General features: G+C 40.1%; 1 protein-coding gene across 5 annotated transcripts in view; it reads left to right on the forward strand.

Moving 5' to 3' along the window:
* Positions 1–23,494, forward strand: part of DAAM1 (dishevelled associated activator of morphogenesis 1) — a 182,739-nt gene that overhangs the window by 64,272 nt on the left and 94,973 nt on the right. For all 5 annotated transcript variants that reach the window (XM_005267431.2, XM_047431135.1, XM_005267430.3 and 2 more), the window contains one exon: positions 10,503–10,722. In XM_005267431.2, coding sequence (XP_005267488.1) covers positions 10,540–10,722 — 183 coding nt within the window. In that variant the 5' untranslated portion in view covers positions 10,503–10,539. Of the gene's footprint in view, positions 1–10,502; positions 10,723–23,494 lie in introns of those variants that run through there.

A 23,494-nucleotide genomic window follows, 5' to 3' on the forward strand; every position in this document is an offset into this window, starting at 1 on the left:
TACATGATCCATCCATTTTCTTTTTTTGCATGGGCTGCTTGGAAGCTCACACCAAAGTGTTGTGCTCTAGCTTTCCTAATCTTAGATTTTTTCGTGTACAGCCCCCTGGGTTTCTCCCACCTTGACTTTCTGTGTTTCATTCTGTGTTGAAATTTTCGTCTCATTGTGTTTTCATTGTAAACCATCTTAATTCACTTTCTTACAACAGAGGGGAGGCAAAAATATGTACAACTTTATTTTTACAGATGATAAAACTGAGTTTCAGAGGATGTAAGTGTCTTTCCTAAAGTCATTCCAAGAAAGAAGTGGTGGAGCTGTTATTTGAACTTGTGTTGCAATTCTGCGGCTGCCTATGTGATATTGTGTCTATCAGTTTTTCCCTAACTGGAAAGCACAGGCATCTTCGTGAGAAAGTTGGAGGTTTCTTAATTGTTACCAGAGAGTGAGGCTAATTTTAACCAAGAATCTTTGTTCTTTGTGATGTTTCATTTTCTCCTGTTGAAATTGTATTAAAGTAATCTTCGCATAAAAGTAGGAGAACATAAAAAGAGGAAGGTAATTAGTGAGTTTTAAAATTTGCTTTCAGTGTAAACATGAACATATAAAGACCTCTGGGCAAAATTTTGTTTCTTTATTTTCAGTTCAGCAAACTGTCATTTACCAAGTATGCCAAGAGCCATTTTTCTCCACAGAAGCCTGTGTAGAAATAAAAATTATACCTCTTTGGCAATAAAATGCCTCCATGATAAAATACAGTTATAATATTTGAGAAGGAACAAGATTGAACAACATCTGGTTTGGGGCTGTGAGGGCTGGGAGCAGTACTCACTTCCCCAGGGGACCCTGTCTAGGCCTCACCAGGGAGAGGGACTTAGTGTGACCATGAGCCCTCAGCCCAGAGTACCTCCAGTATCTTCTTTAATCCATAGTAAACTTTGCTTCAAGATATGGTAAACATAATTGTTGAAATTAAGTATATATCTATTCAACTTCGCATCTCTCAAAATTTGCCTGCATTATTTCAATTGTGAGGAAGTTAAAAAATGCCTAATAATATATTTCTTTTTTAAACAATGTCTTTTAATATTATTTGCATTTTCTATGTGGATGGCACCAAAGGGTGGACTGCTTGTTTGGGAAGATCTGAAGCCTTAAATACCAAAAGTGTGCTCCTTGTGGTAGGGGGACATTTTCAGAGGCAGCCACATTTACCTGTATTTGTGAAGACTGACTTTAGGGGTCATTACACCTGGATCATAGAGGACCAGAGTGTGTAGAGTACAGGTGATTGCCGGTATCTTGTAACATACAAGTATTCTTTTCCATGACTGCTGGCCTTAGTCTCAGATTTTTGAAAGAACTGCTGGTGATTCAGGAAAGTTGCATTCTTTTGTATATTTGTAAAGAACAAAACTTGGCCTCTTAGATGAGGGAGAGCTTTGATGTGACAAAGCTGGCTGTGGAGTTGTAATATTTTATGTTTTTGTAGCCTCCACAATTTAAATTTGTCTTTGTACGGTATCTGAGTGGATCCCTTAGAGACAGATTGGAACCCAGAGGGAGAAAATTATTTGCATTTCTTTTGACTTCAGCTTACATTTGTTTATTGACTTAACTCACAGACTAGCAACAGGTCAGCAGGGGGAGGGCACAGCTCTCTGTGAGCTGTGATGTCTTCGGGTGCTCCAAGGACACTTTGGGTTTGGCTCCTCTCCCAGATGATCTAGACGAGATGTCTTGGCTTCCAGACTCTGGTTTCTGTCACGTGAACAGCACAAACTTCCTAACTCGAGAACCTTGTTATATTGGCTTTAGGGATTTATACCCTAAACCCATGGTTATGGTATTACGTGACACAGAACAGTTGTTGCCAGCTTTTTAGGATCAAAACTTGGAGGTCCTCTTCTTTGCTGCTTACATGCAGAGTTGGGCATAGTGTTTCTGGCAGGGCTTGGAGAAAGCCTGTTAATTACATGCTGGTTGAGGCCTGGTTTGGCCTGAGGGTATGCATGGACTTCACCTGGGTGCCCTCCTCCCTTATCTAGGGAGAAAGTGGGCAGTTCTGGCTTCCACTCTGTGTCCCCTGCCTATGCTGAGGCAGAGAGAGCAGACAGAAGTAGAAAGTGTTTTCAGGATGCTAATGGCTTTTTTGAACATTTGCATATTGGTTTCCCTGTGCATAGATGCTCTCATTATTTTCCTCTTGCCTCAGAAAAGTTACTGGGTCTAGAGGACCACCTGCTGGGTGAAGTTCCAGGAGCCACTCCAAGAAGTGCCCTATTAGAACATCCTTTTGTGATCAAGTGTATGGGCAGGGCTGTCCCTCCACTGAACACACTGACTGAGAAACGCCCTTTCCGTTTCCTGATGGAGAGGATGTTGAAACCTGCGGGGAACACACAATTCCCTTTCAGACGTTTCTCCTATAAGCTTTAGACTATATCCCGTGATTTTTTTTTTAAGCTCCAAATAGTATTTGGCATCTGGTGTATTTGGGAAATGAAACCAGACATGAGGAATGTGAGAGAGGAGAGGGATGGCCAAGGAGAGAAGCAAAGTAGTTTTTTTCCTTTCACATTTTTCTTGATAAGACAATTTGGGTTAACATTATTGTGTTGTTGCAATGCAAATTACACATCAGAGCCCTCTGGAAAATTGCAAAATGTGAGGTAAACTGCAGTTCTGAAAACATGGGTGTGGCAACTAAAGTGGAGGGTCCCCCAACCTTTCTCTTTAAAGATGCTCTTATTGCATAACTCTGTTTTCTTGTCCTTCTTTTTATGGTTGTGACATGAATTCTATTGTTTCAGAAATTCCAGAGACCATTTATAGTACCAGAACAATGACTATATTTTAGTGTTGAGATTATAATTCTTAGGAAAATTCAATGTCAAATGCTGTCTATCTTGATTCATATAATAGAAGTGGGGAAGAACAATTATGGTCCCCACTGCACTTTGCAAGTGGATGTAAAAACTCTCACAACTTCTAACCAAGTTGGTGGCTCTCAGGAACTAATTGTCCCTCCCTCCCTCCCTCCAGCATATCTTGACTGCCATTTCCACTAAACCCCTCTAGCTAGAGGAAAACCTTGGCAATTGGATTCCTCAGTCTGGACAGTCATCTTATAAATGTGTGGCAGAAGTCCTGATGGATCAATTAAAATAGTCTGCATATCAGCAAAAATCTGTTTTGTTTATGCCAACCTTAACATTTCACTCATGTATTAAATACTGATTGTGTCTTGGTTTGTGGAAAACAAACTTTACTTATCACATATATTGTGACTTGACATTATCAAAGGGAAAGTATTAGGGAGGGTTTTCTTGTGGACTGTAGGTTGTTCTCCAATGTTTTATCATCATAATTATCATCATCCACATTCCCTAAAATTTGGCCTCAGTTTTTGACTGTTGCTACATTGAGAGTCTTGCCTGTTTTGTTGAAGAGCAGTACAAATGACTCTGACTTCTAGCTAGGCCACAGATGGATTGGATTTCTTACTCTTTGCTAAGGAAAATGCACCTGCTCCAGAATCTTAAGAAGCTTTTTAAATTGTTTCCTTGTGTATAGCATAGCACTAGTCATCTGTAATGTTATAGATGGATTGCAGTTTGGATGTCCCAGAAGTGACTTCTTCCTCTGCAACAATGCCAGAAGCTGAGATTAGAAGATGTGCTCTGGTTCAGGGCCCAGCTGTCATGGTGGAATTAGTCCTCTTCCTCAGGCTGATCTGATTAAAAAGAGACCGATATGGAAACCTAGGTCCCTAGTTTCAGAAGCTATGCATTCCTTCTTCATCGGACAGGAAAAGGACCAACTCCCCTCCCTGCTGTATGTCTGCACTAGACTATGATCTCCCAAAATGGCATTTTGAGTTTTCTTCGTCTGTGTCTCCAGTACCTAACACTCTGTGGGTGTATTGAGGAGGTTCAGATCATGATGGCTGAGTCAGTGAATATTTTCTTGGGCAAAATGTTGACTGAATATAAGATATTGGGGAAATGTCTAAAAGATTTTATCAGCGAGTCTCTTTTCAATGGCACTTACTTGGGAATGAGTTGAAAAACTATGCACCAGCTAGTTTGGCCAGAAACTCCTCGCTCTTGGGAAGCTGGAAAGCTGCAAATATCCCAAGGATGGAATTCATTTATGAGGCTTCTGTCAGCATCAGAAAGCTTGACAAGTGCCTAAGGAGAACTTGATGATCTGATTGGCTTCAAATGTCTTGGTGGGTTTGAAAACGGATCTGCAGACAACTATGGGAAGAACACCCAGTCACGTATCTCTGACATTCAGAGGTGAGACCATCTGTTCACTTAGGAATTTATACTTTTGCATTCAACAAACATTTGTTGAGAATATACTACGTGCCAGGGATTGACTAAAACTTAATCCCTGCCATCAGGATCTCACAGTCTAGTGGGGGAAATGGACATTAAAAAAAAAAAGGCACTCAAATATGTATATCATGCTAGAGGTGTAGAAAGAAATGTGTAACTGTCCTGGGAAACTGAAGGCCTACAAAGCAGCAGTATTTGAGCAGAATCTTGAATGGTGAGTGGAAGAGAGCCAGATAAGGAAGACACCGCAGGCTGAGGACACTGTAGACGTGTGGGCTGAAAAGTGCAACCATTGCCGAGGACTGATGAGTGCACGCACGTGCCTGCGTATGAGGCATGTTTAGGGTATTGGGAGATGTGGGCCGGAAAATAAAGTTGGCAAGGGTCAGGGCAGAGACCTCCTTCCAGCACGTAACTCCTCTGGTCTGGACCCTGCCATCTTCAGCCTCTTCCTTCCTAGCACCCCCACGACTCAGCATCCACCATGGCCCATTAGGCTTCAGCCACATTGGTCTTCCCTAGTGACTCAAACATGCCGGCTCCCCACCTGCCCTGGTCTTCACACACACCTCCTTTAACCCAGAATCCTCTTCCCCAACACTTTGCAGGGCTGGTCCCATTTTATCCATCAGGTCTCAGCTTAAATGCATGTGGTCAGGAGAGGCCATCCCTGATCATACTATCTGAAGGACCTGCCCTCCCACCACTACCACCATTGCTCTTCACGTTCTTCCTTCCATCCCCTATAACATGAGCCAACTTCAGGAATAATGTTTTAGTTTTCTTGATTTTTTTCCTGCCTTCCCCAAAGCACACAGGCATCTTTTCTCATTTTCATCCCTCTTCCCTTAGTGCCCAGCACAGTGTTTGGAATATTTGGCTCATAATTTTTACTTGATAAACATTTGACTTAATGATGAAATGGATGGATATGATGGGCTGGGGCAGCTGTTGTTACTTTTATGATGTATGGGCTTCTCCGCATAAACATCTCTACCTTTACCAGCAAATCAAGTGTGTTTGGGCATGGGCAGCATTCAGGGTATTGGGAGATGGGGGCTGGAAAATCAAGTTGTTAAGGGCCAGTGCAGAGACCTCTTCAGTGTGTGGCCCCTCAAACTTCTGTCTTCCTGATGGCCCACCTCCTTCCATCTTAAGTCTCACCTATGAAATGGGGGTGATGAAATGAAGTGATAGTCTCCTCTTAAGTCTTACCTGTGAAATGAGAATGATGAAATGAAGTGATGGGTGCGAATATGCATATTAAATCATATATACTGGGCAGTTGTTGGGATCACTAGTCAGTGAAGTGCTAGGGAAGTTAAGGTGGGCAGGTTCTTCTGAGGGGTCCAGCGGAATGATTCCTTTTGTTTCCTGTTTTGGTCTGTATCTGAAAGACTAGGCTCTGAATAGTGGAGCTCCATATATGGGGAAAAAATGGATGCCTGTTGGAAATCTCCAACACATGCCATCATCTAGAGTTTAGGGATGGGTTTAATAAAGGACCTTGTATTTGGGGATCCATGGAGGAGCCAGCATAAAATCTTGGCCTTTGGGTTTCACTGAGGCTTCCACATACAAATTACCTGTCAAAGGCAATATTTTGGTACTTATTGAAAGGATTTCAATTAGGTTCTTAAGTATAGTAGACTCTGTGTCTTATTACCCATCTCCGAAACTAGCCAAGAACTTCATATTCTTTTGTTTACAGAACTGTTGGGATTTTCTTTTTAAGACTTGAAAAATGCTCTGGACTGATTTTTAGATCTTAACGTTACCCCCGACTTCTCGCCCCTCCTCAGTGCAGCCAGAATGTAATATAACTTGGGTTTAAGTGAAACTTGTAGCATGCAAAAGGAAAACTATTGCTGTTTATTTATTCTGTAAATACTTTGATTGTACCTCTGTGTGCAAAACACTAAGTGACATGTGCCATGTCACTTTTCCTCCCGATTCTTCAATGAGGGAATAAAGACCCAGACCTCGATTTACAGTTAACTGTTGGCTGTACATGATGGAGGTCACAAAATGCTAAGAGAGCCCAGACCATATCTAGTTAGGCAGATTAACAAGACTGCCTGAAAGAGATAGCTGGAAATGAGCTTTGAAGGCTGAATGTGGGCCGTAGGACCCTGCATGAGCTGGTCCTTGCCTATTTTAGCTTACTTAATTTTCTTGCCCTCATTTCCTGGTAGCCTGAACACTGCCTTCCTGCCCTGTCTTCCTGGGGAACACTTCCCCATCCCCCACAGTCATACAGACCTTGTCAGTAGTCCCAGAATGATCTCTCTTCAGTTTACCAAGGATAAGATATGGGACACTGGCCTGGCTTCTGAGTGGGATGTGGTCCCTGCCCTGAGGACACATACCAGAGACAAATATTAACAGTTATATTTTAATGAGATAAGTAATGACTCCCATGTCCTAATGTACATCAGCGCTGCTGCTGCCTACCTGTGTTGGGTACAAGAATTGAGATTAGGCCGGGCGTGGTGGCTCACGCCTGTAATCCCAGCACTTTGGGAGGCCGAGGCAGGCAGATCACGAGGTCAGGAGATCGAGACCATCTTGGCTAACATGGTGAAACCCCATCTCTACTAAAAATACAAAAAATTAGCTGGATGTGGTGGCGGGCGTCTATAGTCCCAGCTACTGGGGAGGCTGAGGCAGGAGAATGGCGTGAACCCGGGAGGCGGAGCTTGCAGTGAGCTGAGATCGCGCCACTGCACTCTAGCCTGGGCAACAGAGCAAGACTCCGTCTCAAAAAAAAAAATTGAGATTAAGCATTTAAACTTTTATAGCAATTTGACATTGCTGAGATCTTTCAGTTTATAACAGATTGGATGAAAACAACTAGTCCTTTACCACAGATAGTTTGAAAAGCTGGTATGTAGATTAACCTAACTTGGATATTTTTGATAGGAACATTTTTGCATACTCATGCTCATTTCCCCCTCTAATATAAGCAGATAATCATATCAATGGGTTTTTTAAATCTCACTTTATTAATTGTGAAAATAGTATGTCTTCAATATGCCAACTTAGGAAGTGCAGAAGAGTCTTTTTGTTTGTTAAAACAAACAAGGTAATCTCTACATTTGTCACAGAACTAACTGCTGCCTGTATTTTGTTATATTTATTTTGTCCTTTTATCCTGCTCATATATGTAAATTTTTTCTCACAAAAATGGGACACTGTATTGTTTATTCTTTATGTGTTTGCATGTCATTAAATATTATTTTACAAAGGGCTGCTTGGTAGTCTGTTATCTAGTTGTACCATAATTTATTTACCTTTTCTGTATAGTCCTTCATTACAAGCACTTATTCTATGCCCTTATTTGCTCTTGCAGATAATGCTTTGGAAATTTCTGTGAAAACATTTTTGATAATATCTCTGAATATTTCCTAAGCATACATTTTCAGAAGTAGAAATACTAGGTCAAAATGTGTGACCATTTTAAGACTTTGATAAATTGCCCTTCAGAAATGTAGAACTGAATTTCAGCTATCAGTAGCAGTGGGTGTACTCTCAGGATTGGTACTTTCAGGGTGGGAGGATGTTGCTAGACAAAGGCAAGAGCGAGAAGGAATGAGTAGTCTACTTGGGTGGAAGGTGAGAGGAGCGCAAGATGTTTATGGGGCATGGAAAATGGCCTGTTGAGTAAAGTGTAGGATATTTTTGAGGAAGTAGGAAAGACAGAAAAGTTGAGCTGAAATCCACTGAAAGCCAATTTAGAATGGTATTGGGGAGCCATTGGCAGATTTTTCAGCAGGGATATGAGAGCCAGGGCTCTGCTCTGAGAAGATGGTGGCATATACAGCACAGTCTATACTATACCACTCATTCCCTGTACCCTTCATGCCCCTTCCTACCTCATGCCTTTGCTTGTACTGTTCCCTCTGCCTAAAGACCCTGTTTTCCATATTCTGTCAAAACTCCACTCATCCATCAGGGACCACCCCCAGATCCTGCTCAGTTTACATGGCACTTACTGGCATATTACCTTTATTATAACTATCTGGTGAACTACTGTCTCTCACTAGATTATGAGCTTCTAGTGAGTGACCTGTTCATTTCCATATGCTTAGGTGACTACTGTCATTCCTGGTACATAGTGGGTATTAATGCACATATGCCAAAGGAATCCCAATTATGACATATGTCTCAGTATGACCTTGCACAAGTACACCCTAGGCCAGGAGACATATGCTTCAACAGAACAGGATGTTGGATGTTTGGCTTAGTCTTTATTTAAGAGCCAGTTACAGCATCATTGTGGACTCTGTGATAGACACCCTGCTTTTAACCTTTCCCTCTCTTCCCGTCACAGAACCTCCCAGTTCCTGACTGTAGAGACCACTTTGCCTTCAAGTCAGCGGAGGACTAGACTGTGGAAGTCTCTGGAAATTATAGTTGTTTATGAGTGCTTTTACTTATTTACGTAGTAGTGTTAATTACAAAATCAAGAAATTGGCTACAGATTTTGGAGTTGGATTATCTGATTTGGAAGATGCCATAAGTCGATGGGTTGGAGTTTACTTTTAAAACTTAAGAACAAAAAAAAGTTCAAGGAAGGCATCTGTTTTCTCACTGTCCACATTTGTTAAATGTTGACAAACTTGACCCTAGTCTTTCTTCTATGTGTATACTTTTATATTTAAGTATATAAATAATGCATTCACAGCCTTGTTCTACCACCTTCCCTGACCAAGATATGTTTCTCCTCCCCTGCCCTTCCATCTCTTGAAGGACCAATTCTCATCCCACCTTTTTTTTTTTCTTTTAACCTCATCTCTTTTTTAACCTCATTGAAGACTTATAACAGTTACACATCTAAATGTATCCACTATTCTTAAAAAAGCATGAAAAGAACATTTTTTTTCTTGCCTTTTTCTAATCTTATTCCACTCTCAGAAGAGAGGAATTAGGGATTTGCTGTCTATCCTTCTGGACCATTTGGTGGAAATTAATTTACATGTATGGCTTTTTGTATGACGTTTTTAAAAAGACGCAATGGCATCATGCTATGCCTATTGTTCTTCTTTGACTTGGTTTTTTCAATAGACAGTATCAACTGGAAATCTTTCCAAGGCAATATATACAGTTGTAACTTAAAACATACCCTCTATCATCATTAAAAACATGTTTTTGTGGTGAAAATTTGGATTCAAAAGGGTAAAAATGAAAATGAATAGTTCTCCAACCCTCTGTTTTTATTTTGAGGATTACTGCTATTAGTAATTTCTTTCATATATTTATAAATACATACATTCTTTAAATCATGTACTCCTATAGCATTTTCAACATTTTCCCATATCTACATATACAAATGCCTTGGTTCTTTTAAATGAGTGTATAATATTCTATTAGTGTGTGTGTGTGTGTGTGTGTGTGTGTGTGTGTGTGTGTGTGTGTAATTTAACCATTTCCTTTCCTTGCTGGTGAATTCATTTTCTCTTTTCAGTTTGAAAATTTCTGGCCCATCTAGCTCAAGTCCTGGCTTTGTTGTAAATTTGAATTAGTTAATACAGTGAACATTTATGGAGTGCCTTCTCTCTTCCTGGGATTGTGCAGGGCACTAGGCCCACAAAATACTTGATGCACAGCCGCTTCCCCTCACTTCAGTTACCACAGCCTAACAGGAAGACACACTCATAAAGAGCTTAGAATGTGATCATGCTAAAGTGGATATATATGTCATAGCATATATGTTATTCTATTTAGGGAAGAGAACTTTTAAATCAGTCTGGAATCAGACTTTAAAAGATAAGGAAGAGATCTCCTAGGGGGCAAGGAAGAGAAGGTCAGTCTTCCAAGAAGAGTAACAAGAACAAACTAGGTCGGCAGGAAAGGGAATGTGATGTACAAAGAACAGACAGTAGCTCAGTGTGATTAGAGTGTATGTTGTCAGGAGAGTGGCTGGAGTTGTCCTGTTTGCTCAGCAGTTATTGCAGGAAACAGTCAACAAATGAATAGAAGGGTGTGTGTTCTCTGTCCAAGTGGACTCCAAACCCACTCGGTGTTGTTCTCTCTGTGCCCTGCAGGGCGCACACAGTGTCGTCAGCACACGGAGCTCTTTCTTGAGTTGGTCTGGCCTTTTAAAAATCATTTTATCTGTTCCTGTACTCTTAACCATGTCATATCCTCTTTTTGCAGCGTTTAGTCACATCAAGAAATAGAACAGAATTCAGCCATGGCCCCAAGAAAGAGAGGTGGACGAGGTATTTCATTCATCTTTTGCTGTTTCCGAAATAATGATCACCCAGAAATCACGTATCGGCTGCGAAATGATAGCAACTTTGCGCTTCAGACCATGGAACCAGCATTGCCCATGCCCCCTGTGGAGGAGCTGGATGTCATGTTCAGTGAACTGGTGGTGAGTCCCAGTTTTCTATCCTGGCATTGGTGGGGAGCCAGAGAAGGAGAAGAGGAGAGGATGTGAATGAGTTGGTTTGGTTTGACATGGACTTTTCCTTTTCAGTGAAATGGCCCCCATTCACCTTTATGTCTGCACCCTCACTGTCAGCACTAAACCTGTGGAGAAGGAAGAGTTAGAAGAGGGTAGTATTACTACATCCAAGTGCTTTGCTTGTGCTTTAAGTGGGTGGAGGGATTTAGACCTTCAGTTCTTCAAATATGTGGCAGTACTGCATCTTAAGTTGCCCTTCCTAATTTGTCTCCATCCCAGTCCTTAGTCTATACATTATGCTAAATAATTCCTTCATTTACTTCACACCTATTGGGATTCCCTAATGCTCCCCTACCCCCACACCGAATGTACAGTATTAACGTATTTTTAAAAAATTAGTCATACTTTCCATCCTGTCATTGATCCTTTGGTGAAAGACATTATTACTTCAGTACAGCATCATTATTTAGCCTAATGATAGGATTAGAATAATAACTGCTGTGGGAATCTTTTTATAGGTACTATCATATTTTAGAATCAAATATACTGAAATGAAGGATGCATCTAGTGCAGGACCCATTCATCAAGAGATGTAAGTACATTCTTCAGCTTAGCTTTTCAAGCATCAAGTAGTGTTTCTATTCTGTATTTCAGAAGATATTATGGCATAGTTTAAAGGGGTGCTAGCATAGGACTTAGGAAGACTTTTTTTCAAATCACTGCTTTGATTTTATCTTCATAATTGTAAAAAATCATGTTATTTTTCTGTTCCTGTTTTCTGAAGGAAAAAAACATCTTCTTCTAGGTTTGATATAATGTTTCAGTGAGAACAGCACACAGTGGGAGTGGCCCAGTGCCTGGCCTTTAAACATGCTTAATAAATGTTACATGAATACTGTATCCTGCTTTGATCACCACTGGCATTTTGTAATGGAATTAGTTCTTCTTTTTTTTTTTTCTTCAACTTTTATTTTAAGTTCTGGGGTACATATGCAGGATGTGCAGGTTTGTTACATAAGTGAACATGTGCCATGGTGGTTTGCTGCACAGGTCATCCATCCCATCACCTAGGTATTAAGCCCAGCATCCATTCGCTGTTCTTCCTGATACTCTCCCCAATCCACCATCCCCCTGCCTCCTGCCACATGCCCCAGTGTGTGTTGTTTCCCCCCATGTGTCCATGTGTTCTCATCATTCAGCTCCCACTTATTAGTGAGAACACCTGGTGTTTGGTTTTCTGTTCATGCATTAGTTTGCTGAGGATAACGGCTTCCAGCTCCATCCATGTTCCTGTAAAGGACATGATCTCATTTGTAATGGAGTTAGTTCTAAATGGACCATTTATATTGTTCAACAGACACTAGAGAATACTATTCATTTTGCATGATTCTTTGGTCAAGGACATACTGTAAGCTGCGTTAGTGTTCTCCTTGGTTAATATCTGAACTGACCATGTCACTCCAACTCTTATAGACCAGAATTCATTTATAAAGCAGAAAGATAAGCCAATATGAGAGAGGTTATGAAGCTGATGTTTGATTTCTGGTCTCCTGCGTGGAGCGATGGGCCTATTGCCAACCAGAGTTGGTCGGGAAAAAGGAAAGATGACTCCTACCAGTGTACTTACGCTTTATGATCTTGAATATTTTCAGTGTTTAAGGAATCTCTTCCTTCTTTGATCTCCACTGCATGAAGAACTCTGTTGCAGGTGTTAACAAGGAAGTTTGAAATAGAAAGCCAGAACCTGCCCCCCAAAGATCTGACAGTAGTAGAAGGAGATCCATTATGAAGAAGGTATAATGGCAACAAAAGAATAATCACAAATTACCTGTGTGTGTAATATGTGTTGTGTGGTGTGGGTCAAGGAGATGAGGAAGGTGGTTAGGGAAGACTTTATGGAGGAAGTGAGCTGTCAACAGGAATTGAAGGTGAGAAGAAAAGTTGGGGGGAATCCATGTTAATGACTGTCTCAGTCATCTTAAACTAGGTTATGCTGTGATAGCAAAACCCCAGTGGTTGCAACAGCAGAGGCTTATTGCTTGCTGTGCTGTGTGTCTACTGTGGGTCTGCTATAGTTCTGCTCCTTCCTGTCTTCTGTCCTATACCCAGGAAGGGTGGAGGAGGAAAGGCAAACCTGGCAAACCATTCATAGGCTCTAAGCTTATGCTTGGAAATAACAGGTGTCACTTGTGCCCACATTTCATTGGCCAGTGCAGATCACATGGCCACACCTGAGTTTGCATATAAGGAGGCATCCTTCTTCTGTAGAGACTGGTACCACAAGTCATGTGGCCAAGGCTGAGGTCATGGGGCAGGCAGATGACACATAGTCCTCTTCTAGGGAGGGGCAGTGAATCATCTACCAAGACAGCAATCAAGAAGGGCAATAATGATGCATTGACAGGCAGGGTTTCCCACTTAAAATGTTTTAAAACTGAAAGTCTCTTGTTCAAGTTGGTGTTTGGATTAAAAAAAAGAAAAAAAAAAGTCAACCAAAGGACATAGGTGTTGCTGATAGCTAATGACTGCCCTCAAGTTGGTGTTTGGATTAAAAAAAGGAAAAAAAAAAAGTCAACCAAAGGACATAGGTGTTGCTGATAGCTAATGACTGCCCTCAGTGGTAGTAGAGCTGGTAGGCAGAGCTGGCACCCTCAAAGCATTCCACATCTACAGTTATATTCTGTCAGTCTCCCAAAATGAGAGCGAGGAGCCCGTGTGGTGGTAGCTTCATGTACGTCTTGAAGACAGCTCATTGTTCTGTATTCATAAGGGAGAAAATTCCACTCTCTCTGCCTTATTGATGTCTCCATTCTGTGTGAAAATTGCCTACAGCTGCTAGTTGTGAGAAAGCCAATGCCAAACCAGAACTTTAAGCTGAAACCATTGGAGAACAAATTATCTTGAGGTTTGTATCTGTCCTGGTAAGTGAAGGATGAATTTTTGTCTACTCTTGACTTCAGGGACTAAGACCACAAATCTATCCAATTGTAAGGGGTGGCCTGGCCAAGAGAGGTAGGCTCAAAGCTGCTGCAAACCTCTGCCCCAGGTTCTCTTGAGTAATAGCTGAAGCAATTCTGCCTCTGGCCTGGTACAGCGGAGGGAGGCCACATGTGGTGGTGGACAGTGCCTGGTCTCTGGAGTCAAACACTTTTCCCAAATGCCAGCTCTGTAGCCTAGGAAATCTCCCTTTAAGATTATTTCTGTTTGAATTTTAGTTGTTTCCTTACCTATAAAATGGAGATAATACCATCTTGCTGATAGGGTTGGTGTAGAGGTGAAAGAAGATAACCTTTAAAAAGTCTGGCACCTAATAGATGATTTACACCCCACAGACAAATACTGCAAGAGGGATGAGAGATAATTCTAGTGTCTTCTAGACACAACACTCTAAGCAAATATTTCAGTTGTTCCTTTTCTTGAAAGCAAATCTGCCCTGGTGTGAGCGGGCCAATGTGGGTCCTAACTTGCAGACCATCTTACCTCTGTATCTGTTAGAAAGCATCTCATCAGAGCTGGTTGTTGTAAGCTAGTTTCCTTTGCCTCATCTCATGAGTCACTCATTTGATGTTTTTAAAAGTGATACCAAGTAGATTTCTTTCAGAATTGGTTACTGCAACCGTATCACCTCATTAGTAAAGCAAGCCTCAATAGGAGGTCAGCCATGTGAATCTTTAAAGAAGGTGGGCAGCATGGAGCACCTTGTTCTCTAGTAGGCTCCCTGCTGTAGGCAGGGGAACCAGAATTAGTCCTACCTCAGGATTTAGCATTGTCTTTCTAGTCTCATCCTGCTTAACTTAAAAAAAAAAACAAAAAACAAAAACAGCTTTATTGAGAAATAATTCATATATAATTCACCTATGTAAAGTGTGCAATTCAGTGGCTTTTAGTATATTAATAGAATTGTGCAACCATTACCAAAATCACTTTTAGCAATCACCCTAGCATGTGACCTCTAAATCCATAAACCATCACTCCTCATTCATGCCTAACCCCAACATCCCCTAACAAACAATAATCTTCTTTGTGTCTCTGAGAATTTGGCTACTCTGGATAGCTCACATAAATGGAATTATACAATATGTGGTCCTCTGTGACTGGCTTCTTTGACTTCACAGAGTGTTTTCAAGGTTCACCCTTAGAGCATGTACCAGTACTTCATTCCTTTTTCTTGCCTAATAATATTCCATTATGTGGATATACGCCCCCCCCTTTTTTTTTTTTTTTTTTGAGACAGAGTCTCATTCTGTTACCCAGGCTGGAGTGCAGTGGTGCGATCTCGGCTCACTGCAACCTCCGCTTCCCGGGTTCAAGCGATTATTTTGCTTCAGCCTCCTGAGTAGCTGGGACCACAAGCACGCACCACTGCGCCCAGCTATTTTTGTATTTTTTTTTAGAGACGGGGTTTTGCCATGTTGGTCAGGCTGGTCTCGAACTCCTGACCTTGTGATCCGCCCACCTCAGCCTCCCAAAGTGCTGGGATGACAGGCATGAGTCACCGCGCCCGGCGCCTGCCACATTTTTTATCCATTCATCATTTTATCCATTCATCATTGATGGACATTTGGGCTGTTGCCAGTTTTTGGCTCCTGTGAATAAAGCTGCTATAAATATCCATATGTAAGTTTTTGCATAGATATATGTTTTAATTCTTGCAAGTATATATGTAGGAGCGGAATTAACTGGGTCATATGGTAACACTGTGTTGAACTTTTGAGAAACTTTCAGACTGTTTCAAAATGACTGCACCATTTTACATCTCCACCAGCAATGTATGAGGGTTCCAGTTTCTCCACGTCTTTGCCAACACTTGTTCTTATTCACCCCCTACCAACTGATAAGACAACTGCTTTTAAAGCTGTTCTATATCTCCTGAAGAACTGAGGACAAAATAACTCGGGAATTGTGTGTGCGTGAGTTGTCAAATAGAAATAAAGTCTCCCTGCTAACAATTTTTAAGTTATTTGGGATATTTACAAATAAAACCTAAGTTAAGAGTCTGTTTAATCTCTGCTAACCATATATTTTATACCTTTCGAGAATCAATTCTTTTTTACTTTTTCCTCTCCCTCTCACCTCTACCTCCTCCCCTCTCCCAGTCTTCCTCTGTGCTCTCTGCCTCAGTCAAAATAAAGAAATATAACCAATATGAATAACACTCACCTATTGAAATAAGATTCAGTAATATTCTTTTCTACAGGTTTTTAAAAGTCTTAAATTATCTCAGCCAACCTATCCGAAGAGTCCTAAGCGTGACAACTCTATAAATCGTCCTTATTCAAGTAACTTTTTTATGTTAGCAATAGACGATTTCCCTTGGAATGAACAGAAGAATGAGTCATTAATCGACTGATGGTTTATTTTGATGTGTGCATGTTAAGAGCCTGTCTCTGCTAATCCTGAGGTAACTGGTGAGCAAAAGACACATGGTCCTGTCCTTGATGATGTTGTGGAGCTGAAGGTCTAGCAGAAAAGACAGGCAACTAAATGTGCAATCTTATCAAAGTGATCAAGTGCTATGGGAGTGCTGCTCAAGCAGTACATTTTGTCTGGGAGGAAGCTTTATTCCCTTTTTCGTGAGGAGGGAGTTTCACTGGAATCACATTCCCGGCCTCTCTTCCAGCTCCTTACTCCTCTTGGGAACATGCACAGCTCAGTACCTCTCTGTAAACAGTCAACGTGCTTTGAGAAAACACATTGTGTTTCTTGGTGCCATACATTACACAGGAGTGAGCCCCTTTGGGGAGCTCTACAGTTGTCCAGCTGCCCCTGTGGGACAGTGGATAAACATCTACATAACTCAGCATTAAATTTCTGCAGGCCCCACTTATCTGCCGATGAAAGTTGGGTTCTCCAGTGCAGCTTACGTGAGTAAAATGAAGGGCATTTTGATTTCTATTGGCTTGATTCCTTAGCTTAGGTCTCAGTGAATTCTAATCTTGCTGGGGAAGGAGGGTGCTGTTCACTAACACCTACCCCCATGATTGCCTAACCTAGTGTGAAGGGTCTTGGAAGCCTTCCTCGGGGAAGTGACATTTAATGTGAGGCATGAAAAACAAGAAGGAATCATCCAGGCACAAAGGAAAGAAAAGAGTGTTACAGACAGTGAGAAGAGCATGTATAAGTGCTAGAGAGTGAGAGAAGGCATGGAAGGCTCAGGTAACTGAAAGAAGTTCAGTTTAGATGACGCATAAAAAAACAGGAAGCTAGAGGGATTGGAGATTCTGAGAGACGAGCCTGGGAAAGGTATGTTTGGGATGGTTATATTGTTGACTTAAACATATATATCAAATTCTTCCTAGAACCAGAGAAAAGTGCCTCTGTTTGCTTACAGATTTTTTCAGTGAACCAAATATAATGAAGTACATCAAAATATTTTGCTATCTGGTTAAATTTACAGAAATAACCATGGTTCTGTTCAGTATTTGTGAGGTGTTGGTAAGTTTTGTGATAGATGTCATGTATCCCTGAGTAGATTCTTATCTTAATCCATTTTATGTTGCTATAAAGGGAATACCTGAGGCTGGGTAATTTATAGAGAAAAAAATTATAGCTCATTGTTCTCATGGTTGGAAGGCTCAAGATTGAGCATCTGCATCTGGTGAGGGCCTCAGCCTGCTTCCACTCATGGTGGAGGCAAAGAAAAGTCTGCATGTGCAGAGATCACGTGGCCAGAGAAGCAATGGTGGTGGGGTGGCAGGTGCTAGGCTCTTTTTAACAACCAGCTCTCCAGGGAACTAATGGAGCTAGAACTCAGTAACCCGGAGGGAGGAAATTAATCTATTCATGAGGGATCCTCCCCCATGACCCAAACACTTCCCATTAGGCCCCACCTCCAATATTGGGGATCAGATTTCAACATGAGATTTGGAGGGGAACACACATCCAAACCATAGCAATTCTGAATATGTTTTCCTTTGAGCTCAGTAGTTGAGGTGAGGTGCCTCTTTGTTACAACATGCACCTCCTCTGGCTACTTTAATTTTGAAATAGAAAAGGACAAAGAGAATTACCAGGAGCCCCCCTGCAATAGACTTCTGCATACCCCAAGAATAAGGGTTTCCTACAGAATATTTCACAGCAACAGTGGTATTGGAACTGGGGTGTCTTTCTCACAGTTTCTGTTTCTGTGACCCTCAGCTTTTTTAATGGGTGAAACATGCAAAATGTGCAACTGCTTTTCCTGTGTGAGATTTTACGTAAAAAATCCAGGTTTAAAACAAGTCTGGTTATTATTTTTGAAGTGTATTATAGTCAGTCTCACCTCTTACAGCACACATATTTGGAATCCATTTCATAGTTTTAGAGGAGAGCTTTCATTTCTAATACACTACATCACTGAATTTATGGCTAGTTGGAAATAATATGCAGTTTGAACCCAAGTTTTTCTAAGCCTGAAATGTTTCCAATTCCATTTTATACTATTTTCTGGTTAATCTGCCTTCTTTCAGATCCAGTTCTTAGACTTCCATTTATTAGGCCAGTGGGTCTAATGTTTGAGGATAATAGAGTGCTGTGCCTTCCAGGAAATGTAAAATATTTTAAAGAAACTTGTTGTGAAATTCATCACTGGTCACAAAACCACTATTTATACTACCGAGAAAATATAAAAGGAAAACTAAAATCCCAATGAGAAGGTAGTGATGGTGGATACTGTAGGATGATAAGATTTATACCATCAAAATATAATCATAAATATAATTACTATAGGCCTATATCATTAAATACTGAGGACATTCGCAGGATTAGTCATCAGCATAGAATTTGAGAAATGAAGGTAGGAGAAATGAAGATAGTAGAAATGAAAGAATTTAGATGATATATCAGATTTAGATAAATTCACAGTCAAGGTAAGTTGTGCCAAATGAATTCACTTGGGAACCTACATCAATAATCTCTTCATTTTTCATATATTCTGAAGTCATTTTGATATGAAAGGAGCTACAGGAACCCAAATGAGTCCTAAGGATATACCAGGGTACACATTTTGTTCTTCTACCAGCCTTGTGAATTGTTACTCCTTTTCTCAGGCTGTCAGCATAATTTCTCTTATGACCGAGGCTTATTTTAAGCTGCCTTTAATAATAAAGTACTTCTGTTGTTACAAAAATCAATGAAAAGTTTCAACATTTTTTATCTCTTCATTTTTAAAACTTGCCTTATAAGTGAAGACCGTGACTAACAATAGAAAGTAACCTACAGGAGCTATTCAGTTGCCTGTCCCCAAGAAAGATGAAAAAATTGCGTAATAGGAACATTCCATTTTAAACTGATAGAAGGAAAAAAAAACTGGTTGTAAAGAGTCATAGTTTTAATCTATTGTTTATTAGAGTATAAAGGATTGCTCTGTAGTTACACAGAGAAAATCGGACTGTATAAGACTTCAAAGATACATGTCTACAATAGTGTCAAAGTATTCAGTTATCTGGAAGCCAAAATTCAGAATCTAATGAGGGAATTGATACTAAAATTGTTCTGTTTCCATGAGATTAAAAGTTGGTTTTATTTGACAAACCTGTAAAGCTTAAAAAGAGAAAAGTTTTGTTTAGCTAAAGGAAACAATCAGTTGACAGAGAATTAAAATATATTGGCTGGGTGCAGTGGCTGGCCAGGCACAGTGGCTCACACCTGTAATCCCAGCACTTTGGGAGACTAAGGCGGGCAGATCACTTGAGGCCAGGAGTTCGAGACCAGCCTGGCCAACATGGTGAAACCCCATCTTTACTATTAATAAAATTAGCCAGATGTGGTGGCACATGCCTGTAACCCCAGCTACTTAGGAGGCTGAGGCACGAGAGTCACTTGAACCTTGGGAGATGGAGGTTGCAGTGAGCCGAGGTCGGGCCACTGCACTCCAGCCTGGGCAGCAGAGCAAGACTGTCTCAAAAAACAAACAAACAAACAAAATATATATATATACACACACACACACACACACACATACACACATATATATGTATGTATGTATGTATGTATGTAGGAGAGAGGGAGGGAGGGGGAGAGATCTTCCTTTGACAGTGTAGCATTTTTTGATAACTTGATGCTGTAGGAAAATGCTCAGAACAGTGTGAAGATATGCAATATATCACAAAGAATAGTTGGAATGTAGATATGGGCTTAAATGTGTGCAGTGCTAAAATTCCTATGGAGTAAATGTGAACTGCTGCCAAGATACAGTCAATTTAAAGGTGACAGAAGATGATCTCACATCCAGGACTTGATCAGTTATTTTGGCCCTGAGAACAACTGATGGTTTATGATATAGGCTGATATTGACATAAGTGGTTTTGCTTGCTGATATCTGCTGTACTTCTGAATAGAACATTGCTTTGTTCCTAAAACAGTAGGGTTGGCAGTAGACTCTCATTTCAGTGGCATTATACATTTCTTTGTACTGGTTGAAGTCCTGTCTGCTTAGAGACAGTAAGATGGTCAAAATGATTTCTTAAGTTTCCTTCTAATCCTCTGATTCATTAAACACATCCAATAAAGCTTAAGATACGACCATAAAACCATTTTGTTCCTTCTAATTCTGAATGTATATTGTATCTTACCAAGATCATTCCAAATGTCCTTTCCTACAGGCTGTTAAATTTGGACTTCAACTTCATATTAAATATTTTGTTACCATTTCAATTATCATTTATTTCTGGATGCTTCTTATATCTTAATATTAGATCAAGGAGACTGAAATGAGGGAGCATGAAGAGGTGGAGGAAAGAAACATGAAAATGTTGTTTTTAAATAGAAATACTATACTATAAAACTATCTCTGAATTAATAATGCTGTTGACAAAATGGCTATGGATCCTCTTGGTCCTGATGATTTTTATTAAAATGAATCCCAAAGAGACCCTGGATAGTATGGACCTACTTAGCTTTTGGCTACAATTTAAAATCTGACTATTTAACTTAGTCCTTATACTACCATATACAAATTATACAAAGTCGTTATAGTATACTGACATTCCCATTCTCTATGTGTCCTCATATAAGCCAATACAGGTGTCAAAAGGCTGGAGGAATAATTTGATCTTTATAAGTAGTGTGGTTTAGGTAAGCTTTTAAGCGTAATTTTAAAAATGTGTTTCAGTAATGGCTAGAAGGATCTGGTAGTTTGTGCAATTAACTGTACATAAGAATATATCTTGATGCTCTGGGAATTATCTAGTCACCATGGTTTGCTCTCAGAAAACACATGTGACATGGCCTTTGGGAGGTAATTGCTCAATACCATGGATGGTGTTTTTCAGGTCTGAACAGTCCTTGAATATTTTTACTCGCTGTGTCTGGAATCTTCCCCACTCCAACCTTCAATTCCCAGAATTCCTCTGGAATTTCAAGCTGTTCTTGGTGCGTGTTACAAGAGCTCAGTGACCAGCTATATCTTTTAGTTATGATTTTCGGGCTTATGGGTGAAGAGCTAGAATTTTTGTTCCTTGGCAAACCAGATTCCTGAAAAAGTTGCAGTATTTTTTCTTGTGTTCAGTTTTAAATGAATTTGTTGGCAAGATCCAAAAGCAGCTAGCTGTTTATTTCATTACTCAGTGCAATATTTAAGAACTAAATTAAACCAAATAATTAAAAACTCAGAATATATATATGACATGTATATATATTTATGTTATGTATATATAACATAAATATGAATTGTTTTCAGGAAAAATAGGCTTTTCTTCGATGTAGAAGGAAAAGTCAGAATCTTTTGCCATCTTTTCAACAGTCAGATAGTTTGAGTTTTTTCTCATATGAATAACTCATTGTGTTAATCCACTATATATATGCACCTTTGCACCTTCAGAGAGCAGAATGGCTCAGGTGTTATATCTGACTTTCTCACACTTAGGATCCTGGGGGCCTAGGGCAGTGCTTGGTCCAGAGTAGGTGCTCAATGAATGTTTGTGGCTTGAGTGAATGGATGTATAACTAATTACTGAAGCATTACACATGAGATGCACAATAAGTATTTGAGTGAATGTATGCATGCATGCATGAATTAATAACTGTGGAATCCTGCAGCAGTTGGGTTTGTATTTTAATATTCTCATAGTGGTGATAAGTTTGGGCTGATTCTTATACTCTGCCTGCACCCTATCCACCTGCTGTCATCCTGTTTTACTCTTTCTTCTCATTAAAATGTTAGTTACAATGGGGACACCAAAGTGGTTGGCATGAAAGTTAGCAGATTAAAAGGATAAGGGTGACAATGTTTAAGAAATATTCTTTCTCTTTAAAAGTCTCTGTACTGTATATTACGTGGTGAAATAAATAGCTCCAATGTGGGAAGACTTATTCTGCTAGATTGTCTTTTGACCCAATTAAAGCTTTAAAGTGTCAGACAAGCAGCCAAACAATCCTCTTGAGGGTGTGGGAGGGGCCTGGGCTGGCAAGAGCAGTGCTGGTGCTATCGAAGGAGGTGGCCATGTGTGGAACTTGGCTTCATGGTTGGTTGCCCACAGGGACTTAGGGTACCTTTCTTGTCTGTCACTTTACAGCTGGTGCTGTATCCCCGGAGATGAAGTACTTCCATTCAATTAGGAAAACATGCTTAGAAATTCTCTCTTTCAAGAACAACAGGCAATGGGGCCTGTCAGAGGGTGAAGGGTGGGAGGAGGGAGAGGATCAGAAAAAATAACTGTGGGTACTAGGTTTAATAGCTGGGTGATGAAATCATCTGTACAACAAACCGTGTAATACAAGTTTACCTATACAACAAACCTGCACGTGTACCCCGAACTTAAAAGTTAAAAAAAAAATTTATCTAGTAAGACTTGTCAACTGAAGTTGTACTAGATTATAGGTGTAAATACTGGAAATTTGGGTGGATATTTGGAGATGATTCTAACATGTTTAGAAAAAAGCTTATTTTAGATTACCGGAAAACTGTTGGTGATGCAGACTATTAAAACTTGAAGTCACTCTAATGAGTTTCTAGTTTAACGGTAAAAAAGCTGAATAAAAAGCCTATGTGTTTAGCTGCAGACTTTGTCTAGCCAACTGAATATAGTCTGCATTGCTTGCTATTAAGAGAAAAAAGGAAATAGTGTAAAAAACACTTAACCATTGGTAGTAAGAAACTAGAAATTATTTCTATTAGTCAGCCTTTGCTTGTGGTGTTTCTCACTTCTTATTTTTATGTATCAAATGAAAACATGTCTATCAGACACAGAGAATATTACTGTGTAGGTGGTGGTGAGTCATATTGTGGTATTTCATGTAATGACTAAGAATATTGGCAGAAATTTTACAGGCTGAAAACCTCCAAGGTTTGTTCTCTGTGTTTACCAATCCCTTTTAGGGCTTAAAGCTCTCTCTTGTTTTCCATTTATGTTTTTCCTGACTGGTTGGGAGCAGGTAATAATTCACTGAATGCACCTCTATGGAAACTGACAAAAATCTTACCTAGCTTTCAGATTTCTAACCACCATCATACTAAAATATTATTCTCAGAGTCATTGCAGTTAAATTTTAAGTGCTTCTTTGGCAATTCATGATTCCCAGATGAGATGGTCATTTGCTGTAATGGGGCTGGATGTTTATATATTTAATGAATTATCATAGCTTAATAGTACATTTTCTCCATGCATTTTATAAAAATGTTTTCTGTTTATTTGCTGCCAAAGCATCACCCTTCAATCTGCCATTAGCTTCTTCCTCTTGATGTTGTACTTATTATCACCATGTCATGTGTCTTTAGGTCACAGCTTCTTCCCCTTGATGTTGTACTATCACCATGTCATGT

Source organism: Homo sapiens, chromosome 14 (assembly GCF_000001405.40).
Source record: "Homo sapiens chromosome 14, GRCh38.p14 Primary Assembly".
Classification (NCBI taxonomy): Eukaryota; Metazoa; Chordata; class Mammalia; order Primates; family Hominidae; genus Homo; species Homo sapiens.